Raw genomic sequence first — 19,746 nt, 5'->3', positions numbered from 1 at the left:
AACTTCTGCAAAAACAAAAGTTTTCTCTGTTAAATGTTAACATTCAGTGCTCAAAAAAAAAAGTGTTTTATGATCTTCCCAGAGTTATGGACTAAAGGAATCCAGGGATGCTTTTGGAGCTGGTCACAGAGGGTCCCCAGTAATTAAACCCTGGGTCCTGGAGATCTCAAAAGGCCTCCATAAGGGGTCAAGGGTTGAGAACCCCTGAAATTTTGTGTGGACTCTGGGAACAGACTCTTCTAGACAGGCTCCATGGCTTCCTGTCATCTTGTTCTCAGTGGAGCTCATGATTCATAAACACCTAAGAACAGGGGCCCCAATTCCTTCCTCCCTTGAGGGGTGACTTGGCTTGCCACCTTCACACAAGGACATCGTCCTAGAGTCAGCTCCGGGCCCACCTCGCTTCTCCCAAGGCAAAGGTCTAGGTGCTCCCCTCCCCTGGTCTTCATCAGGTCAATGTTTGGAATCCGCCAGGAAGTAGGTACTTGGGTTAACAAAAAATGTCTAATGGTTTTTGACCTAACTTCAGGAAATCACAAATAACCATTCCAGATCAGACCAGCGATTCCATTTTCCCCCACTGGGAAAGGAAGTTCGTACACTTTAAAACATTTTTTATAATGGGAGAATAGTGGAGGAAACTATGGCACATCCACAGGTCGGTGTATTAGGCAATCATCAAAATGATGTTTATAAGGAAACTTTAATGACTTGGCAAAGTATTTATGACATATTGACAGGTGAGAACAGCACAATATAAATTCCTGATACTGGTTTTATAAAGGATGCATTGTAGAAAACACACAGACACACACACACATATCTACATACACACACAAATTTACACATATACATACAAACATACACACATACACTCCCCACATATACACATACATATACACACACCCACATATGCACATGCATACACACGTACATACATACACACACATAAACACATATCTGCACACACATACACGTGTACACACCCACATATACACACATATACACATGTACACACCTATATACACTTATTTACACACAAATACACACACATATATATGCATATATACACATATATATACATACACACACACACACATATATATATTTTAAAACAGGTTGAAATCTACTGCAATGTTAACCAAGGTTAATTCTGAGTGGTGAAATTTCATGTCACTGTTATTTTTCTTTTCATTGTCTCCTACATTTTCCCCAAAGAAAGTGTATTATGTTCCTAACAGAAACCAAAGCATTCTAAAAAAACACTGTCTCTCTAAAAGAAAAGAGTGTTGAATGAGGGTAGAAAGAGAAAATGAGTAGTGATCCTGTTTTCAGTTAGAAAGGTTTCAAAACCATCTTTAAAAAGTTAAATCCAAGTCTTCAAGTTTTATTCATGCTCTTGAAAAATAGCAGATACCATTACATGTGCTTATTTATTTCACATTTAAGATCCAAGTGGAGAAATCGGATTATAGTTTCCTTGTCTGCCGTAAACTATGTGGATGGTTTCGTTTCAGACGGTTATAGGGTGAGTTCTGAATGCTTCTCAGTTTAACTTTTATCCCCATTTTCTCCTCTGTGTAACTCGGTGTGAAAGTCCGGGGGATGGAGATCCGTATCCGATTTGTGGCAGGGCCCACAAGGAGAGAGGAGTACCCCATGCAGGCGAATCGCCTCGTTTTGTCTGCAGAGCCAAGAGAGGCTGAAGTTGGCTGCAGGACAGTTTTCAGCGTCCGAGGATGGGGTGGCCGGTCAGGCAGACCTGCCCCGCAGGATGTTCCCGGGAGCAAGCAGTGAGCCCGCCCGCCCCCACGCTCCCTGCCCGGGCGCCCAGCGTGGAGGCTCCCCTGGTCTCCCCACACGGCCGGGGCCTCGCCCCAGCCCCAGCGCAGCCCCTCACCAGCTCCCAGAAACCGGTGAGTTTGGGTTGCAGGCCCCGCAGGGTCAGTGCCAAGGCCCGGCGCAGACTTCGTGGAGCTCACGCAAGGGCCCTGGGCCTGCGGCTGCAGTAAACAGACTCCCCTTAAAGGTCACCTCTTCAGGCTCCAGCTCTGCGGCCAGAGGAAGCTGCAATCATTTTTCAGGGCTGTAAATGCCAAAAGAAAACGCAGCGAGTCCCAGCTTTCCTCCATGCCCCTGGTCAGCCAAGCGCCTCGTCACAAGGCATTTCCTTGCCAAGTCAAGCTTCTTTTTTCCGCCTGAACCCGGAATAGACCTCGAGTAACCTTTGCTCAAGGGTCTTGGGGTGCAAGCTTTTAAATTTAGTTTGCAAGCTGCGGTGGCTCCCAGCCAGCAGTCCCCAGCCCCAGAGGAAGCCCATGCAGCACCTTCATCCTCCCTTGCACGCTGGACTCATGATGAGAAAGATTCGGACCACAGGGCAGGTTCTTTACATTAAAAGGCATCGTTGTGTCCCCCCCGCCCCGCCCCCCTTTTTTTCTTTTGGTTGAGTTTTGTGTGTTTTGCTTTGAAACCTAACGAAAGATTTCATTTCTGTGGCCTAACCTTCCACAGGTGAGAAGCAGCCCATAGCTTGTTACCTGTTTATCCGAAGGACAGATCGGTGCTCAAGAAAGGTAAGTTGTACAGAAAGGGAGGGTGAGATGAAATTTAAGGATTAATTTGAGGGAAGCTGAGAAGCCTCCTGTCCAAATCACAGACATCCATCTCATGAATAAATGAACCCACTTAAAAAAATTCATGTGTTCATCATAGAGTCCAGCTATTTAAATTATTGGGCTGATTCATACTAAAGTGTGAATGACTGATGCCAGAGCCTTTCTTCCAGAGCCCTGAGGATGGGACACTCCGAAAATGATGTTTTCAAGTGGCAGGACATTAGGATAGGAGGGCCGAGTGGGGTCATTGCAAATTGGGCCTCTGACTTGCCTAAGGGCATTTCTGCACCTAGAAAATCTAATCTCTGAAACCAGACCCAGTTGGAAAAAATAGAGGTGAATGCTTTGAACTAATCTGAGACCTCTATCAATTAAGGTAGGCTTTTTTTTTTTTTTTTTGGCCTGGTAATCTGTGAGCCATAAGCACATGGGCCGGTGACACCCGAGTCTACTGGAACATCTTCGAGGCCAGGCCTTCTTGCCTTCTGGTAGCTGCAGAGACTAGCACAGATCTCACACAAAGCCCAGACCCCATGGGTGTCTGATAGTTGCTCTGTATCCTTGGGCAGCTGAAGATAAAGTGCCTGAAGGATAGGAAGTCTTTAAAGAAATCTGTACTTTGAGAAATTATTTTATTTTTGTTAGATCTCTCACCAGCTTAAAGTTTCCTCTGTGAGCCTTTCAAGTGGTGCACGGTTTCCTCACATTCAATTATTTGTTCTGCTCCTTTAAAGCTGTGTGACCCTTGGCAAGTTACTTAACCTCTCTGCATCTCGCGACCCTGATGGAACAAAGAAGGAAATAGCGATACATGTTTTCAGCACTGTTTGAGGCTGGAGACACTGTTCAGCAAAGGGCTTCCCGTCGTTCCTGGCCCAGCATGGTTATTCCATATGTACTGGCTTTTATAGGTTAATAAATTAGAGCTGGGAACACAGTGGACCATCTCAGGCAGCGATGAGCTCCCGTGGATGGGAGTGTTCAAACAGACCAGAGGCAAGGCCAGGTCTTTGGAGAGAAACAGTTGAGATGATCCAAGTATGTGGATGGTGGGTGGATGGAGGTTTGGGAGTGGGGTTGGATCTGTTGACCATTAAAGCTCTTGCAGCATGAGGATCTAATTTTAAGTAGCTGGGCTAGTTCACAGGTGCATAAATGCCTGATAAATATGTGCAATGTAATTTTTTAAAGACCAAAGAGCAACAATGAGATGCTACTTTCTACTGCTGGAAGTAGCTAAGTGAAAGAATTGGGCACTTGGTATGATGCAGGGCTGAGAACTGGGACCCAGTGTAGATTGTTTGTGTGAGGAAAATTGGCACTTCCTTGCTTGTAGTTTGCTCAGATGGTCACTGTACGTGTGAATGCCCCATGCTCCAGTTACCCCAACTCTAGGCGTCGATCCCAAGGAAATATTTACACAAATGTGCAAAACATGTTCATTGTGGTGGTGTTTATAACATATCATAGCAAAAAAAAAGAAAAAAAAAAGAAAAAGTCTAAATGCCACACCTGGAGAATGCTATACAACTATTTATAGATGATGTAAATCTGTATTTATTGACATGGAGACACATCCGTGCCATATTGTGGCATCAAAAAGAAAAGCAGGTCAACAGCAGCATGGGAAATCTGATTCCATTTTTGAAACATACGCATGAATCTCTCTGGATATAATTTGCATAGACAGAGGTTTAATGAAACGTTACCAGCATATTATTTTGGAGTGATGAGGTTTTGGGTGACCATTCCTTTTTTCTTTACGCTCTGATGATTTTTTGGAAAATTTTCATAAGAACTTGTTATGAGATTTTTAAAAGACTGTATGCCTCTTAATTTTGAAAAAATAAAATAACTAGCTGAGCCCTGCAGAAACTCTCCAGTTAACACGTCAAGGCCTGATCCACCTAATAAGATGACATTCCAGGACAGAGAACTTTCAATTACATCAGAAGACAGTTGACAGATGGCAGAGCCCGCCAGCCTATCTCGGCTGATAGGATGATAACCCCTTGAGCCTGGCTGGCTTCGGACCACAGGGCTGGCTGCAGACCCCACAATCGCAGCTACTTGCAGAAGTAAACAGGAAGCAGAGCCAGTGCTGAGAGCTGGCGGAGGACGTGCCCTCCTGGGCTCAGAGCAGGAGACTGGCCTCTTGCTCCACATGGACTGAAATTCCCAGGAAACAGGCTGCAGGCATGGACGCTGGACGTTGTGGGAGCGTGAGTGGTGAGCTGGGCCCCTAAGCCCCCATTGAGGGGGAGGGACAGGCAGCTGGAGGGGAGCACAGACAGAGACCGAGCGACTGGCAGAGACGGAGGGAAGGAGGAGGTTGGACCCACCATTGCAGGGTCCTTTTTCAGGAAGTAATCATCAGAATTAAAACTACGGAGTTACTTTCCTCACGGCCTCACTCAGGGCCACCGCTGAGCTGATCAATTGACAAACACAGACCTACCTTCCTTTGGAGGAAGCCACAACTCCCCCGCCGGGATTTGTCAGCGTTTGTGACTTTGTCAAGTCATCCCATCTGGCTGCACTCAGCCTGGACGTCGGGGAAACAAAATCCTATTTGCTGTACTTAGCACATGGGGTTTTAAAGGAGATGAACATGGATGTAAAATCACTTAAAAATATAAAATGTTGCCCCAATACCTATTACATTTATATTAATATATACATATATATTTTGTATACATATGTATACAATAATATACATATATATTACTTTAAGTAAATTAAATTCCAGATTACTTCGAGTTAAAAAAAAAAAACTCTTAAGAAATGTTCTAGCCAAAAAGGTACTCTGTAAAAAACTCACAGAAAGTACCCTATTCATAAGGTTTATTTCAGTCTTCATTCTTTTGTTGTTGCATTCATAAATTCACGATTATTTGTGGAGCTCCTCCTAAGTTCCCCCGCTGTGTCCTAGCACAGAGGATGTTGCCGTACACAAAAGATCAAATCCCTGCCTGCACAGGGTCACATTCCACAAGGAACAACGGCCATGAACGATACATTCGTAGATGTGGTCCCACAGAGCCCGCGGCAGCCAATGATTAGGTCGGTGCAAAAGTAATTGAGGTTTTGCAATCACTTTTCATTTAAATATTTCGTGAATGATCAATTCTGAGCAAGTGACGATTACAGGTCATCACTATCCCAGGAGAGAAGGAGGAATAAAGGCTTGAGAATACATGACATTGAAAACCAAAATCCTGAAGTGATGCTGTAATGTTGAGTTTCTGAGTCCACGCAACACTGTCACGGACTCACAGATGGACACCCAATCATCTGCGGTGCCCAGGGCATGGGTGCGAGGTGTCCCACGCAGAAGAGAACAGCCCAGCCCAAGCCACACGCAGCATATTTTCTAAGCTGGTATTTGTCCACATGAACAGCTCCAGAAGCTATTTTGTGGCAAAAGATACAAAAACTTCTGCAAATTCCAAAAACACCTTAAAACAAGATTTATTAGAACGGATTTTTTAAATTATCAGGAGTTTTTACACACTATTGTTTGTGCAATAAATATTTTTAAATGAGTTTAAATCGAGGGCTTAGAAAATAAACATTCTCCCTAAAATGATGACAAGAATAGCTGATGTTAAAGCCACGAAAACATCAACATATTACAAAAATATCTTAAAATAAGATGGAAGTTTTTAGTTTTCTTTTTCTTTTTATTGTTTTCATGTCTGCTGGGCTATTTTGTGTGCAATAAATATTTTTAAATAATTTTAAATCAAACACTCCAGAATAGCAGCTCTCCCTGTAATGGCAATAATGACCAACTAGCTATGAGCCAGTTGGCCAGTAAATGCAAGACAAACCTTGCATTTATGAATGAGTTTGATCTTCACAGCCATTATTATCCCAGTACTGCAGATGAGGAAGCCAACCAAGACACACAGAGAGGTTAAGTAATCCACCCCAAGTCACACAGCTGACAAAGGGCAGAGCTGGGATTTGAACCCAGGCCACTGAGCTCTGTCTTCTGCGTGTTCAACTCTGTTGCCACATGGCCTTCAACTGGAGATGAGAATGAAGAAGATGACAGGCACCAGTCCATAAAGCCTGCTCTGGGGCAGAGTCCATGCGGGGATATCTGCACCCTCATCTCTAATGGGCCCCCACTGTATAGGGCCAAGTCCTATTCTGGTCCCATTTTTCTAGTGAGGGACCGTCAAGCAACCTACCCAAATCACAGACCTAGTATATGGTGAGGCCAGGAGTCACACCCAGGTCTGTGTGATGCTCTGGTGAGGTCTGTCCATGACTGTTCATTGTGTCCTTTCAACAAAACATAGAAAAACAAACTAGCGTCTCAGTGTTAAGTAATTGTGACTCTGTGTGTCTTGGTTGAGTCATAAGAGAGGATAAATTTATGGAGAGAAAAAAAATTCCCTTAAAAAATGCAACTTAACTTTGCTCCCAGGAAGAGCCAGTTTCTTAGCTCTTCCTTGGAAGTATTGTGGTGTGCTACAAATGATCGGACATCATCACGCCCACAGAAATGCCGGCTCCAGGGAGCCAGTACAGCCCAGTCTGCACAACTCCCGGAAGAGAATTAATCCAGGAATGTTCCCTGAGTGCCTGCTAACGATGCTACCCTGTGAAAATACGCCTTGAACCCAGCAGAGCCTGGGTAAATATTTGTTGGTTTGCTCAAGTTTGCATCCAGGAAGAGCCACCTCGGAGGCTCCCTGCTGCAGAAAGCCACCATCCTGTCCTCCCCGTACCAGTCTGATGTCAGGCTCAACACGCAGCCAGTGAAACCGGGTTCTGAGGAGCCAGGCACCCCTCCTTTCTCCCTCTTTCTGCAATGTGCCAATGGCCTCTGGATTGCATTAAGCTGCATAAATAACAGGGCTGTTGTCAGATATCCCCTGGTGAGGAAAGGGCAGATGGGGAAGCCAGTGGGTCACGACCTTCATGTTTCTCAGCGGGGGTCAAAACGCCTTCCACGCTGGGCGAGGGGAGAGGAGGTCTGTGTTATGCTTGCACTGGGCCCTGACAGGCGAATATAATTCCTGCGCGGCTGCAGGGAACGCTGGGATTTGTTTTACAGCCTGGCGTGGCTCACTCTGTTCAACTAACATCTGGTGGGAAATGGAAAAGTCCCATGCTGGACCTTCCGGGCTGGGATGACTGGTGGATTTTGGCAGCAGCCTATCCTTGGAATGGGGCTTCGTTTCTTCTCTGTGCCTTGGTTTCTCCGGCAGTGAAAGAGGGGTGTGGGTGGTCCCCGAGTCCTACTGACGGGAGGGATCCGTGCACTGGAGCCCGCACAGCTCAAGGGGCTTGCCAGGCAGTAAGTGCTCGATTGTTCAGTGGATGATAACGGTCCCCGCCCCTTGATACCAAAGACAGAGGGGCTCTACTTTCTGAAGCCGCTCAGCTCAGGGGCCTGGCTTTGGGAGGGCGTGGAGCACAGGCACCCGCAAGACTGGATGTAAAATGCAACGTTCGGAGCTTATATTTCAGACTTCCCGTCGTAACCCCAATCTGCTTCTGCAGACAGAGGAGACAAACTCTGACCCTCACTTTGAAGTCGTTGCTTTCCCTGTCCTTGCTGGTCACGTCTAGCAGTTTTTGAGTGCCTCTGCAATATATTTTAGTGATTTAAGAAAAAAGGAGGGGTGAGCCACAGGAGAAGGAAGGGAGGGAAAAGGGAAAGGGAAAACAGAAAGCAGACTGACAGCGTGCCCGCGACGTGCCGGGCACATGCTTCCCTTCTTTTAATTCAATCTTTGTAAGCCCCCTGTGTGCAGGGCGACTGGGCCCTTTTTACGGGTGACTGCATTGAGGTTCAGGGAGATAGGTAACTTGTCTTGTCTCACCCTCATGTGGGATCGAGCCAGGATTCTAACCCCGGAAGTCTAGTGATGCGAGTCACTAGAATTAAAACAATAGTCATCACCCGGCATGTCAGCGGATTCCCTGTTTCTCTAGCTGCAGCCTCTCTCCAGGACATCGCTGTGGGTTTGTTCTCCTCTTGGTGACTCTGGGAGGCCTTGCCAAAGAGGAAAATGATGCTAGGGTCCCTACTCCAAGGAAAGGCTTTCTTCCACTTGGAATCATCCACTAGTAATATCATGCTATCCCAAGGAACAGGACAAAGGGGTCCTGACTTTCCTCCCTGCCCAAGACAGCAGAGCTTCTCTCCCGTTGGCGTGTCCTCACCCACAGATTAAATGTGGAGATTCTCACACAGTCATGGTAACTGCAGCTGGCATTTCCCCGGGTCTCGCCGTGGGCCACATGCTGGGCATGCTTGATCTCACTCAACCCTCCAAGCACCTCTAGGAGTTAGGTGTATTTATCGTGCCTATTTTGCAAACAAGGAAACTGAGGCTGGTGGTTCAGGCAGAGGCCTCAGAGGCAAGAAAGGCTGGGGCTTGAAGGCTGACTCAGAGTGACAGACACACGGATTCTCACGTAATGCTATCTCTCCAGGAGTTTCTGAGATCTGAATTCAAATGGGGCCCCCAAAGAGGGCTGCCCTGACTGCTGGCCCTGAAGTCCCACTGTCTGTCCCACGATCCTGCTTCATTGTCCTTGGTGTTCTCCTCCCACTCTGGGAATCCAGGGATTTTTTTCAGACTTCGTTCCTCCCCCCAGATTAGGAGACTCCCCAGGGTTCTGCCCTCAGTGCCTGGGTTGTACCTTTCCATAGTAGGTGCTCAATACAAATGAACCAGGTGGAAGGAGACGAGTGAGCAGAGGGCAGTGTCCGAGTCCACACCCGACTCCCCCAGGGAGGAGTTCTCCCTGGAGCCCCAGGACTAGAAATCCCCCATTGTGTAGGAAGGTGCCTGGGACTGCATCCGCGTGCTGTGGTCTGCAGAGCTGCAACCTTGAGGAGGCTTCAAAGCACCTCTGCCAATAGATCAGCCTTCCTCAGCCGTGACAGCCCCCAGTGCTCACCTCCTCCAAACAAACCCATGTAATGAAGACAGATGGCCCTGGTCAGCCACTGACCGTGCTGGGAGTGTCACATTCCTCACAGATGGCGCAGTGGGCGGCCAGGGGCCATAGAGCCCATCCTGGAACGTTGTTCGGGGTGTCCCCCGGGTGGGAATTTCCTCACCCAGCCCATGTTCCCCCATCACCCTGATAAGCAGAGTGAGTCTGGGGAGATGCGCTTCCTTCCTCCAGCCAACAGCACACCAGCCCCACCTTGGCCAGCAGGCAGGGGCTTTATTTGGCTCCCTTCTCGTTAGGCAGGTGTTGGAACCTGGGAGCCCTCTCAGAGACATGGACTACTTGGGGGTGGGAATTGGATTAGGGGAGTGTTTAAGAAGAGGAGTAGAACAGTGAGAAGCAACCAGTTCTTAAGTCTCTTTCCTCGGCCGCCTGCCCATCTGTGCCAACAGAGGTGGGCATTGTATTGGGGGGGTGTCTTCTAACATGCTGGGCAGGATACAACCGTTAGCACACCTCCGTCAGATACCTTCCCCCTTGGTGACTCTTTCAGGGCACGCGGCAGACAGGACATAAACTCCCAGCCTCCTAGGAGGGGTGCGGATTTTGAGAGAAGGACAATGGGAAAAGGTCTAAGGGAGTCACTGTCCGGGTGGGAGTCCAGGCTGTCTTTGCACAGAATAGTGGCAGCCTATAAACAGCTGTGGCTGGCATCTGTGGGCTGGCATTTGTGGCCAGCATTTTGTGTCTGGCATCTGTGGCCAGCATCTGTGGGCTGGCATTTGTGGCCAGCATTTTGTGACTGGCATCTTTGGCCAGCATTTCTGACTGGCATTGGTGGCCAGCATCTGTGGGCCAGTATCCATGCCCAGCATTTGTGGCTGGCATCCATGGCCAGCATCTGTGGGCTGGCATTTGTGGCCAGCATTTTGTAACTGGCATCCATGGCCAGCATCTGTGGCCAGCATCTGTGGGCCAGTATCCATGTCCAGCATTTGTGGCTGGCATCTCTGGCCAGCATCTGTGGGCTGGCATTTGTGGCCAGCATTTTGTGACTGGCATCCGTGGCCAGCATCTGTGGCCAGCATCTGTGGGCCAGTATCCATGCCCAGCATTTGTGGCTGGCACCAGTGGTCTACCTTAGTCCATCTGCCAGGTTGCCTGTTGCTCTCCCTGCTCCAGAGTTGCTGAAGCTGAGGCATAGAGCAGTGGAGGGGCCTGCCCCGGGTGACCAGGTGGTGCAGAGCCAAGGCATGTGAGCTGGGGCCCTGCCCCCCAGGCCTTGGGAGGGGTGCAGACCGCTTGTTTGAGGTGAAATCATGACAAGGCTGGAGTCCACACAGGGAGTGAAGGGCACGGGAGGCAGCCGTCCATACCCCTGCACAGCAGCCACTGTGATCACCCCAGCCCCACAGATGGGGAGACAGAGGTCCTAAAGGGTGAAGGGACATGCCCCTGGTACCCACAGAGCACGTGACTGGGAGGCCCCTGGCCCTTTGCTTCTTCGAGGGGATCTGGCTCAGTGTGGGGGCTCTGGCAAGGCCAGCATGGGCCTGTAACTTGTGAGTGTTGAGAAGACACCTCTCCAACTGTCCCATGGCAAAGAAGAGCTGCGCTGGCATGGGAAGGGCATCCTGTGTGTGACTCCAAGCATGTGCGTGTGCGTAGGCAGGGCGGGCAGGCACACGCCTGTGTGGTCCGAGGGGGCTTTGCGTGTGTGGTCCTCCACCAGCCCAGCACTGATCATCTGTCCAAATGCTGCTAACTGCCTGCCCGATGACCAGCATGTTTACTTTAGTCCTGTCTGCACGGACTGAACTCGGAGCCCTGTCTCCTTCCAGCTGGGCCTCCTCACGGGGAGAGGGAGAGACAGAAGGGGAGAGGAGGGAGAGGGAAAGACAGGAGGGAGGAGGGAGACACATGGGATTCTAAAAGAAAGAGATAAAAAAGAAGATGATGTTCACGTGAAGCTCCGCAATGGACGGGCTGTAAATGTGGTTCTGTATAAATCAAGATGACCATTTTCACACCCATCCTCTCTCCAGCACCCTCCAGCCTCCCTCTGTGTGCTCCTGCCCCACCCTACCCCACCCAGCAGCACACAAGCACTCAGACGCTCCAGGTCCATAAATCGCCCCTGTGGAGTCCTGGCGGAAACAGTGCTCCTGTTCCTACCCACTGAAATAAAAATATGCATGCTTGTCTGGTCTGGATGTGTGTCGTCTGTGTGTGTGTAAGGACCCCATTGTGTGTGTCTGTGTGCGTGCATGTGTGTGAGAGACAGGCCATACCCGTTGCAGTGGCACGTGCGAGTCTGCTGTATGTGGGTGAAGAAACGACTTGGTCGGTTTGGAGGGTTTTGGTAAGGGCTGGCGGGGGCCGCAGGGCCCTCAGTGTCCGTCTGTCACACGCAGAGTTCTTCAGCCTCTGTCCACCTCCCGGGAAACTCTTGAGGGTAAAATGAGTGAATGTCCTCCAGAGGTAAACACGCTATATAAATATAGCGGGGGGTTGAATGCATGGCCCGCCACAGCAGCTGTGCGTAATTTCAGAGCTTCAGAGGATGAGTTCTAAGTATTTCCTCTCTAAATCTTGATATTCAACTCCAATTTATATTTTCCCGTAGTTGTATTCTTGCATTGATGATTTACTCCTTTTTAACACTGATTTCCTATAAGCTATCTCAAATATTGTATGCAATGAAGAGGAATGGAAGAGAGAGAGAGAGAATGTTTTACTGAAAAGAAAGTTCTAGAAGTTCTGGTTTCAATGGATGTCAGACTAGAACTTTGTGTGAAGGAGAAATTAAGAGCGACGGTGACTATAAGAAAATGATCAGATGTTATACATGGAGAGGTTTCATTCTTCTGAATACTCTTATTTTTGTGAACCGAAAGGAATCTTGGAAATTATTTCCCTGCCTCCCATTCATTAGAGAGTCAGTGCCTCTGGGTTCCACAAAAGCAGGCTGAGAAATCGGGTTCCAGCCTCAGGACAGACCGGTCCTCTGGAGCACCCACACCAGCGCGCTCCAAATCAGGTAAATTATTACATATAAAACTAGAAGACACACAGATAACTTGATTAGGTGACTTGTTTTACTAGAGAATCTGGCACTTTTTATTGAGGTAAAATTCACATAACAGGAAATTAACCGTCTCCAAGTGTCCAATTCGGGGGCATTTAGTAAATGCAGAACGTTCGGTGCAATCACAACGCGCATCAGCCCTCTCTAGTTCCCTAACATTTCATCACCCCAAAAGGAAACCCTACGCAACTAAGCAGTGTCCCCTCTTGTCACTTCCTCCCAGCCCCGGCACCCATGGTTTGCATATTCCATTTACCTGGAAAACCCAGCACTTCTCATTTACCAAAAATGCTCCATGGAAGCTTATAAATCACCTAGCTGGTTTTCTTTTTTTTTTTTTTTTTTCCTTTTCCTTCTTATGAAGACAATGCATACCCATGTCAAAAATTCAACCACTGAAAAAAAATGTTTTTTAAATAAAGAAGACAGTTTTTAAAATTGAACCCTCCTGGTGTCTCACTGTCAGCAACTGCTGGGAATATTTGGTGGCCCCCAGGCCTCTCTCTCCTGCCCCAGACATCTCTGTATAAACACTCACCCAACACGACCGTTTCAAAAGCTACTGCAATCATACTCATCTGCTGCTTTGGAGCCTAAGTTTTTTAAACTTAGCAATATATGTCACGGACATATTTCCAATCAACATGTACCGTTCTCCTTGATGTTTTCAGGTCCATAGAGGGCTCCTTCCTGCCGTCCTACAGTTGCTCTAACCGGTCCCCTAGGGAAGGACGATTAGGTGCAAGCTTATAGCTTTCCTGCAAATGGATCCACTTTCTGGGCTGTGTTAATTGATTGGATTTAGGAGGCTTGCTCGTGGGCTGTGGGGATTGAGGAAGGATTTAAGGGTTCTATGGAAGAATTCAGAGCTTACTGACAACCACTAACGAGACCTGAGTGAAGCACAGACACACCTGCTCAGCGCCCCTTGACAGATGCACGTAAGGAGTAGATGCGAGGGAGGGCAGAGGAGAGGACTGGTGGCAGGAGCTGCCCCGGGGCACGGGACCTGCCAGCAACGGGTACAGGAAGGAGCCATGGGCTGGCCACCTATGCCCAGCAGCGAGCACATGCTGCACGTCAGCTTCATGGCAGTTCTAGGAGACATGGGATGAGGGAGGAGGCAGAAAGGCTAACGGCACCCTGGGATGTTATATGGAGATGCCAGGTGGGGTGTGTGTGTGTGTGTGTGTTTACAAGTGTATCAGCCAGCAAGAAAAGACAATTCCTTTAAACGCAGGGCTGTGTCCATTTTCCAAAATTCTCGTTAGTACCTAGTAACTCAAATCCACACTTTGCTTTAGTGACGTAAGGTGTCACACATGGAGATTTTTTTTTAAGCTAGTCATTTTTTTTTTTCAGTTATCCCAGATACGGGCTCACTCTCACTCTCCTCTCCGAATTCTTTGAGGTCTGGACAGAGTCTCGGCTCCCCTGGGGAACCTTCCTATATGCCTCTCTGTCTCTGGCCAGGGTGAGTCCCCATGCACTCTTGTGATCACTCCTGTCACTGTGCACACAGCCTGGGACCTCCCATCCTGTGGGTTAACTTTTCCTGTCATATTCCTGCCTCCCGGTTACATTGTGTGGCCCCTGGAGCAAGGATTTCACAGGATTCAGCTCCGGGGCCTGGCAGCAGAATGCACGTGGTGACCGTGTGTCAGAGAGACAGGGACGGATGGGCTGGGAATCGAACCTTGCTCGCAGGTCCCAGTCCCCCAGAATTGCTGTGTGGGTCAGATGGCCTCTCTGTCTGGGTTCACAGTGGGTGGCAGGTGGACTGCCAGCTTCCTCATGCACTCCCTGTGGTCCTGGAGTCATGTCAAACAGTCCCAGGGAGTGGCAGTTATTACCTTGCCTTTTAGACAAAGAAACTAAGGTTCAGAAATGTGAGATTATTCGCAGGGTGAGGACAAGGGTGAGGCAAGAGAGAGACCCTCACCTTGGGGGCACTGTTGAAGGGGGCACCAAAACATTCAGTCATCAGGACCAAAAAAAAAAAGTCTAAATCCGTGCAAAAATAAATCCATGAGGAACAAAACGTGAAATTTTAAATCAAGATGGAATACAGGGTCGGGGTCAGGGTAAGGCAAGCAAGGGAGCACGGGCAGGTGCCGAGATGGAGCCCATCTTTATTTTTTAAATGCTGATATTTTGTGCATCGTAGATTTTTTGTGTTCGTTTTGATTTTTTAAGATACTGCATTAAAATATTATTTATCTCGATGGCTGAGTGTTTCAGTGCTGCCTGTAATGTTGTACCCAAGATAAGAGCCTCATTCACTTTCCCTAGTCCTGGCCCTGCTGGGATCATCTTACCAGTGACTGGTGGAGCGGAGATTTGCACCCAGGGCTTTGGGCTGCCAGAGCTTTTTTTCCCATTGGTGGTGCAGAACTGCAGCTTCTAGCTGGACGCCTGACTCTCACTACAGCATCAATCTCGATTTCTGGGCACCTTGGGTTTCTGAGTTGAGTGGCTGGAGGGAGGGGATGGATGGTGCAGGGGGCAGACTGCACCCAAGGCACTGGCATGCAGTCACTTCTTAAGCTTTCTGTCTGTCCAGCCCTTTCCCCCTCTATTCCCAATGCCTGTCACAAGATTTAATTTGATATCCGAGGTCAGCAAGGAACTTAATATTTACCGGAATCACATTTCTGTCAATGCAGGGTGTTTGATGCTGGCATAACAGTGCTTCCATTCGAAACTCACGTACTCATACTCCTGGAACACAGAGTTTTGTGGAGAGGAGTCGTGTCTTTTGTGTGAAATATATACTTCAATATATATGCTTCACCAAAATATGAACAACAAAACAACATTTTCTACCTTTTTACTTAACATACAATTTTTTAAAACAAAATATTTCCAAAACCCAGATTCCCAGAATCTGGTGAGGAAAAAGTTTATAGGATGCTTGGAAGAGTCATTTATAAATTGATTTCGCTGTTGACCAGATAGTTTTGTCTATCTTTTTTTTTTTTTTTTTTTTTTACAAAATGATGACTTTCTTAAACCAAGATGCTCATGTATGTGTGCACAGGCGCGTACACACACAAATATACACACACAAACACACACACACACAAATATACACACACAAACACACACACACACAGTGCATATGCACACATACACCAAGATGGAACTCTGTGTTACTAAGGGTATGGCTTGAAGTATCAGCACAGCCCTGGCCATGAGGGGCTTATCAGCCTGCCTGCTTTAATTAAACTGATTGACCAATTCAGTTAAAACAACAACAGTGCAATTGTTTGGCAGAATTGAGCAATTCCTTGAGCCGAACTCATCTACCATTAAGATAGATGGGAAAGGGAACAGCAACAGCAAAAGGGAAGGGAGGACCTGAGACCAGTCCCCCCACTGTAAGCTCCAAGGGGATCCCTGCCCTCCTTCCAGAAGGTTCAGCTCAGATGGGATGGCCTTCCTCCTCGCCACCTTCCATCACAACAGATATGGTGCAGAGAGGTGAAATCACTCCTGAGGAAGAGAAAAGCCACCTGCCTGAGGGAGAAAGGTTTTTGCTGGGCTTTGATGTGGCTGGGGAGGTTGATTAAAACATCATTTTGGAGAAGTCTTATTTACTATTATGTATAGATCATCTACAGTAGGCTAAGGCCTCTGCTAAGTTACTACAGAAAATCCCAAGATGAATCCCTTCCAGTCCTGCAGCAATGACAGACGGAATTCTGAGAAACCGGTCCTGAGGGAGAAAGGAAACTCGGTGCGGAGCCCGTTAAGGGCTGCAGCTTCCAATACCAGCGCCTCCACTTTAAAAGGGTGCTAGAAATGGACTTTACGTGATCTTTTAAAAATTCACCGCAATGGTTTACAAAGTAAGATGTGTTTCTTGTAGAATACCTGGACCATATGCAACTACACAAGGGGAGAGGAACATGACAAAGCCACCACCAAGAGAACCACTTGCCACAGTTTGGTGTTTTGGTGTGTAAGTTACACACACACACACACACACAGGGAAGCGTGCACGCTTAGTCAGCACCCAGTAAGCATTAGCTGTTGTTATTCCTATTAGTTATTTTACCGTGTCCTTATAAGAATGGGATCACATGGTGCACGTGCTGTTTTGCAAATTACTTTCCTCATTTATTTGCCTGAACATCTCCCTTCACCCTTCAATATTTTTCGACGACGCAATCCTTCATGGCAGTAGAGCAGAAAGCCGCGTTAAAACCTTCAGCCTCCAGCCTTGCTGGGATCTGGAGGGGTGTGAGCGTCCCGCGGGTGGGCCGGCATTTCAGGGCTCCATGCGTGGGCTTTGGAGAGGCGGCAAGCCTGAGGTATTCTGGCAAACTGGACATCAATCTGTGCAATTCAGTGAATGCGGTTGTTTGTGTGAAGCCATGTCATGTTCTGCTCCCCACAAGAGCAGAGCAGTGGGGACCTGGAGCGGCTTGGATTTTTGCGGCTGAGGTTGGGCTAACAGCAAAGACTGGGGAGCTGCCTCCCTTAGGGGAGACTCCAGATGGAATTGTCAGCTGTGGCAGACCCAGGGCAGGCAGGCTGAGTTCTAGGGGAGGGAGCAGTTACAGCAGAGGGAGCACCGCTTCCTGCTCAGGCACCCCCACCTCTATAGGTAGACCGAGCAGCAGCTTACGACCAAACACAGTCCCCAGTGAGAGGCAAGAAAATCGAATTTCAGTTCACTTCTCCATCATAGCCAAGTGGTGAATACTATAACAAGAATGACACCGACCAACCCTGCCTATGAACCAAGCAGTGTTCTAAACTCTCCCGCGTGAACTCAATTTGCAACCACTCTTTGGGGCAGGGAGGCATGGCAGGGGCTCTTCTGTACAGCACAGAGACTGCCTGCAGATTCTATATCATCTGAGGTTGCACATAATTCCATTCCACCCCCAGGCATCCATCCTTGTTCATTTTATTTGAGAAAAAAAAAAGTCCAAAATATTACTCTTTTGTCCCCTCTTTTTACAAAACGATGAATGCTCAGTGCCCACGTTTCAGGCATCACAAAGAAATGACTTAAGTTCAAGGTCAAGAGACAGTTCTGTCCCCGCTGACCCAGAGATGTCCTTTGCTGATGCTCTGGGACGCCTTTTCAAGATGCTGTCTGGGGAGGGATGAAGTCAGAGTTTTGATCTCTTTAAAGTTTGATTTCTTTACCAAAGTACCACGTTTCTATACCATCTGTCCTGAAAGTGTCTTTGGCTGGGCTCACCATGTTCCCTGGCCTGTGGTCCTCTGATTGGAAATGGGTTTTCATGAAACAAACGGAAGGGGAGGGTGGGCAGACTGGAGAAGTTTGTAGCCTGTTTCTGGTTTTCTGCGACTTTCATTCTGGCCCCTCCTGGCTCTGTCATCCCCGGTCCCATCAGCACCGTCCAGACCAGACCTAGCGTAGCAGGTCCACACACCCGGGATGGCTCAGCACTGACCCTGCCTTCTCTTGCTCCCCAGGGAGGGCTCCCGGAGTAAAGCCTGAGGAACTCCACCTTTACAAGGTGATCTTCAGCGTTCAACAAACTTTGCTTCTCTGGCCACCTCCTTAATCAACTGCAGCCTTTTTCTATTTCTAGCCTGAAACAAACTCCACAAACACTGGCTCTTTCTTCATCTTCCTCCCTTTCCAATGATAATACTGGACAAAAATGGGACAATCTGTAATTTTTGCCCATTTTCTTAGGAATTTTTCCCCTCTAGTTAAAAATCAATCAATCAATCACACACACACACACACACACACACACACGCACGCACGCACGCACGCACACCATGAATTGAGTCAGGGTTCCCTCTGATCATCCCCACCGCGCTCTTCCTTTTGTCTGAAAGGGGCTGGGCAATGATAATTGTGCTTCTGGGGTGAGAGGTGTGGTGTGGGGGGATTCGCAGCAGAGGCTGCGGCAGCTGGTGGGGGGTCCTCCTTCCTGGTCCTCCGATGACTCCGACGACGACGAGGAGCTCTGAAGGGAGACCAGGAGGCGTCTCCACTGACCATGGGGCCCAGCAGCGCGGGGCCCGGGGCCAGCCCCGACCTTCCCCTCCACCAGCGGACGGACCCACAGCCTGAAGGCGGCTGGCACCAGAGGGGCCCCGGCAGGAGCCGATGGGCTGCGAGCGCGCTGGCGAGGGGCGCAGGAGAATGGAACGGGGACAGGGGAGAGGCAGAAGGAGGAGGAGAGGGAAGCCTGGAGAAGAGGAGAGCGCAGAACTGAGGAGCGGGGCAGAAAACAGAGGGAGAGTTGCAGACCGGGCTGAGCTGCAGCGGAGCGCGGGAGTGAGCGGCGGCGGGAAAGCTGGGGTTAGGGGGCCAGGACGTCGCGGGCGAGGGGCGGTGGTGAGTGCAGCCCAAGGGCGCACCGTCCCTGCAACAGCTTCGCGGGCGGGAACAGCAGGAAGGAGTGAGCCTTGGGCGGGCGGTGGGTTTCAGAGGAGGGAGGGCCGAGCAGCTGCAGGGGACAGAGGGGCAGAAAGACAGGGAGGCGGGGAGAAGGTAGGGAGCGGTTCTGGGTAACTACTTCGCTTCGGAAACCGCCCGGGTCTCAGGCCCCAAGGGCATCCCCCTCCTCCCAGATCCCCGTCTTGGGTCCCTGGACCCAAGTCCCGTGGAAGGCGACACCCGCGTCCCAGACCGCCGCGGCGGCTGCTGCCCCCACACGTCTGGTTCGGCTGGCTCTCCCCTGCGAGGGTCGGGGTTTCTGGAGCCCTGCGCACTGGGCTCCCCTTGCCCGCAGCGCCCCTGCGGCCCCTCCTCCCGCTGGCCTGGGATCCCGGAGACGCAGGACGACCTCGGTGCGCGAAGGGGCGGGGGGCGCGTGGGGTCCCTGGGGGCACACCTGCTCACTCATCCCTTCCCGTCTGAGGTCTTCGCTGATGCCAGCTTCACAGGCACGGGCATCAAGGCCCTGAGACGGGAGAAAGGGTAGGCCTCGCAGGTGCACGTGGGAGAGGCTGCACCTAAGCCCCCGCACCAGCCCTGGACCACCAGGGCGCAGGGCCCGAGGTGCGTGACAAAGGGGTGACCTCACCTGTAACAAGTGAACAAGCGTTGACACCCGCGCAGGCTCCAGTGTTCCAACGGCGGAGTCATATGAATCATCCTGATGCTTAATA

The 19,746-nt window shown here is 49.3% G+C and overlaps 1 long non-coding RNA gene across 1 annotated transcript, besides 5 other annotated features; it reads right to left on the bottom strand.

Annotated features, from left to right (window-relative positions):
- Positions 4,299–4,850: an enhancer, noted in NCBI's record as "H3K27ac-H3K4me1 hESC enhancer chr16:86334775-86335326 (GRCh37/hg19 assembly coordinates)". NCBI's record gives its function as "activates a minimal SCP1, AML or CMV promoter by ChIP-STARR-seq in naive H9 embryonic stem cells {active_cell/tissue: H9 hESC(naive)}" and the evidence as "EXISTENCE:reporter gene assay evidence [ECO:0000049][PMID:30033119]".
- Positions 4,299–4,996: a biological region, named in NCBI's record as "Sharpr-MPRA regulatory region 7763".
- Positions 4,702–4,996: a silencer, noted in NCBI's record as "tiled region #7763; K562 Repressive non-DNase unmatched - State 20:ReprD". NCBI's record gives its function as "represses a minimal TATA promoter and a strong SV40 promoter by Sharpr-MPRA in K562 cells {active_cell/tissue: K562}" and the evidence as "EXISTENCE:reporter gene assay evidence [ECO:0000049][PMID:27701403]".
- Positions 7,055–7,628: an enhancer, noted in NCBI's record as "H3K27ac-H3K4me1 hESC enhancer chr16:86331997-86332570 (GRCh37/hg19 assembly coordinates)". NCBI's record gives its function as "activates a minimal SCP1, AML or CMV promoter by ChIP-STARR-seq in primed H9 embryonic stem cells {active_cell/tissue: H9 hESC(primed)}" and the evidence as "EXISTENCE:reporter gene assay evidence [ECO:0000049][PMID:30033119]".
- Positions 9,577–10,078: an enhancer, noted in NCBI's record as "H3K4me1 hESC enhancer chr16:86329547-86330048 (GRCh37/hg19 assembly coordinates)". NCBI's record gives its function as "activates a minimal SCP1, AML or CMV promoter by ChIP-STARR-seq in primed H9 embryonic stem cells {active_cell/tissue: H9 hESC(primed)}" and the evidence as "EXISTENCE:reporter gene assay evidence [ECO:0000049][PMID:30033119]".
- LINC02135 (long intergenic non-protein coding RNA 2135) lies at positions 12,630–19,588 on the bottom strand. The gene is made up of 3 exons (NR_038438.1): positions 19,470–19,588; positions 15,275–15,354; positions 12,630–14,491 (listed from the first exon to the last, which is right to left on the bottom strand). It is a non-coding gene; the product is annotated as a long intergenic non-protein coding RNA 2135 (long non-coding RNA).
- Between the last annotated feature and the right edge of the window lie 158 nt (positions 19,589–19,746).

The sequence above is a fragment of the Homo sapiens genome, chromosome 16, assembly GCF_000001405.40.
Source record: "Homo sapiens chromosome 16, GRCh38.p14 Primary Assembly".
NCBI classification, from domain to species: domain Eukaryota; kingdom Metazoa; phylum Chordata; class Mammalia; order Primates; family Hominidae; genus Homo; species Homo sapiens.
This window is presented reverse-complemented; position numbering and strand designations above follow the sequence as displayed.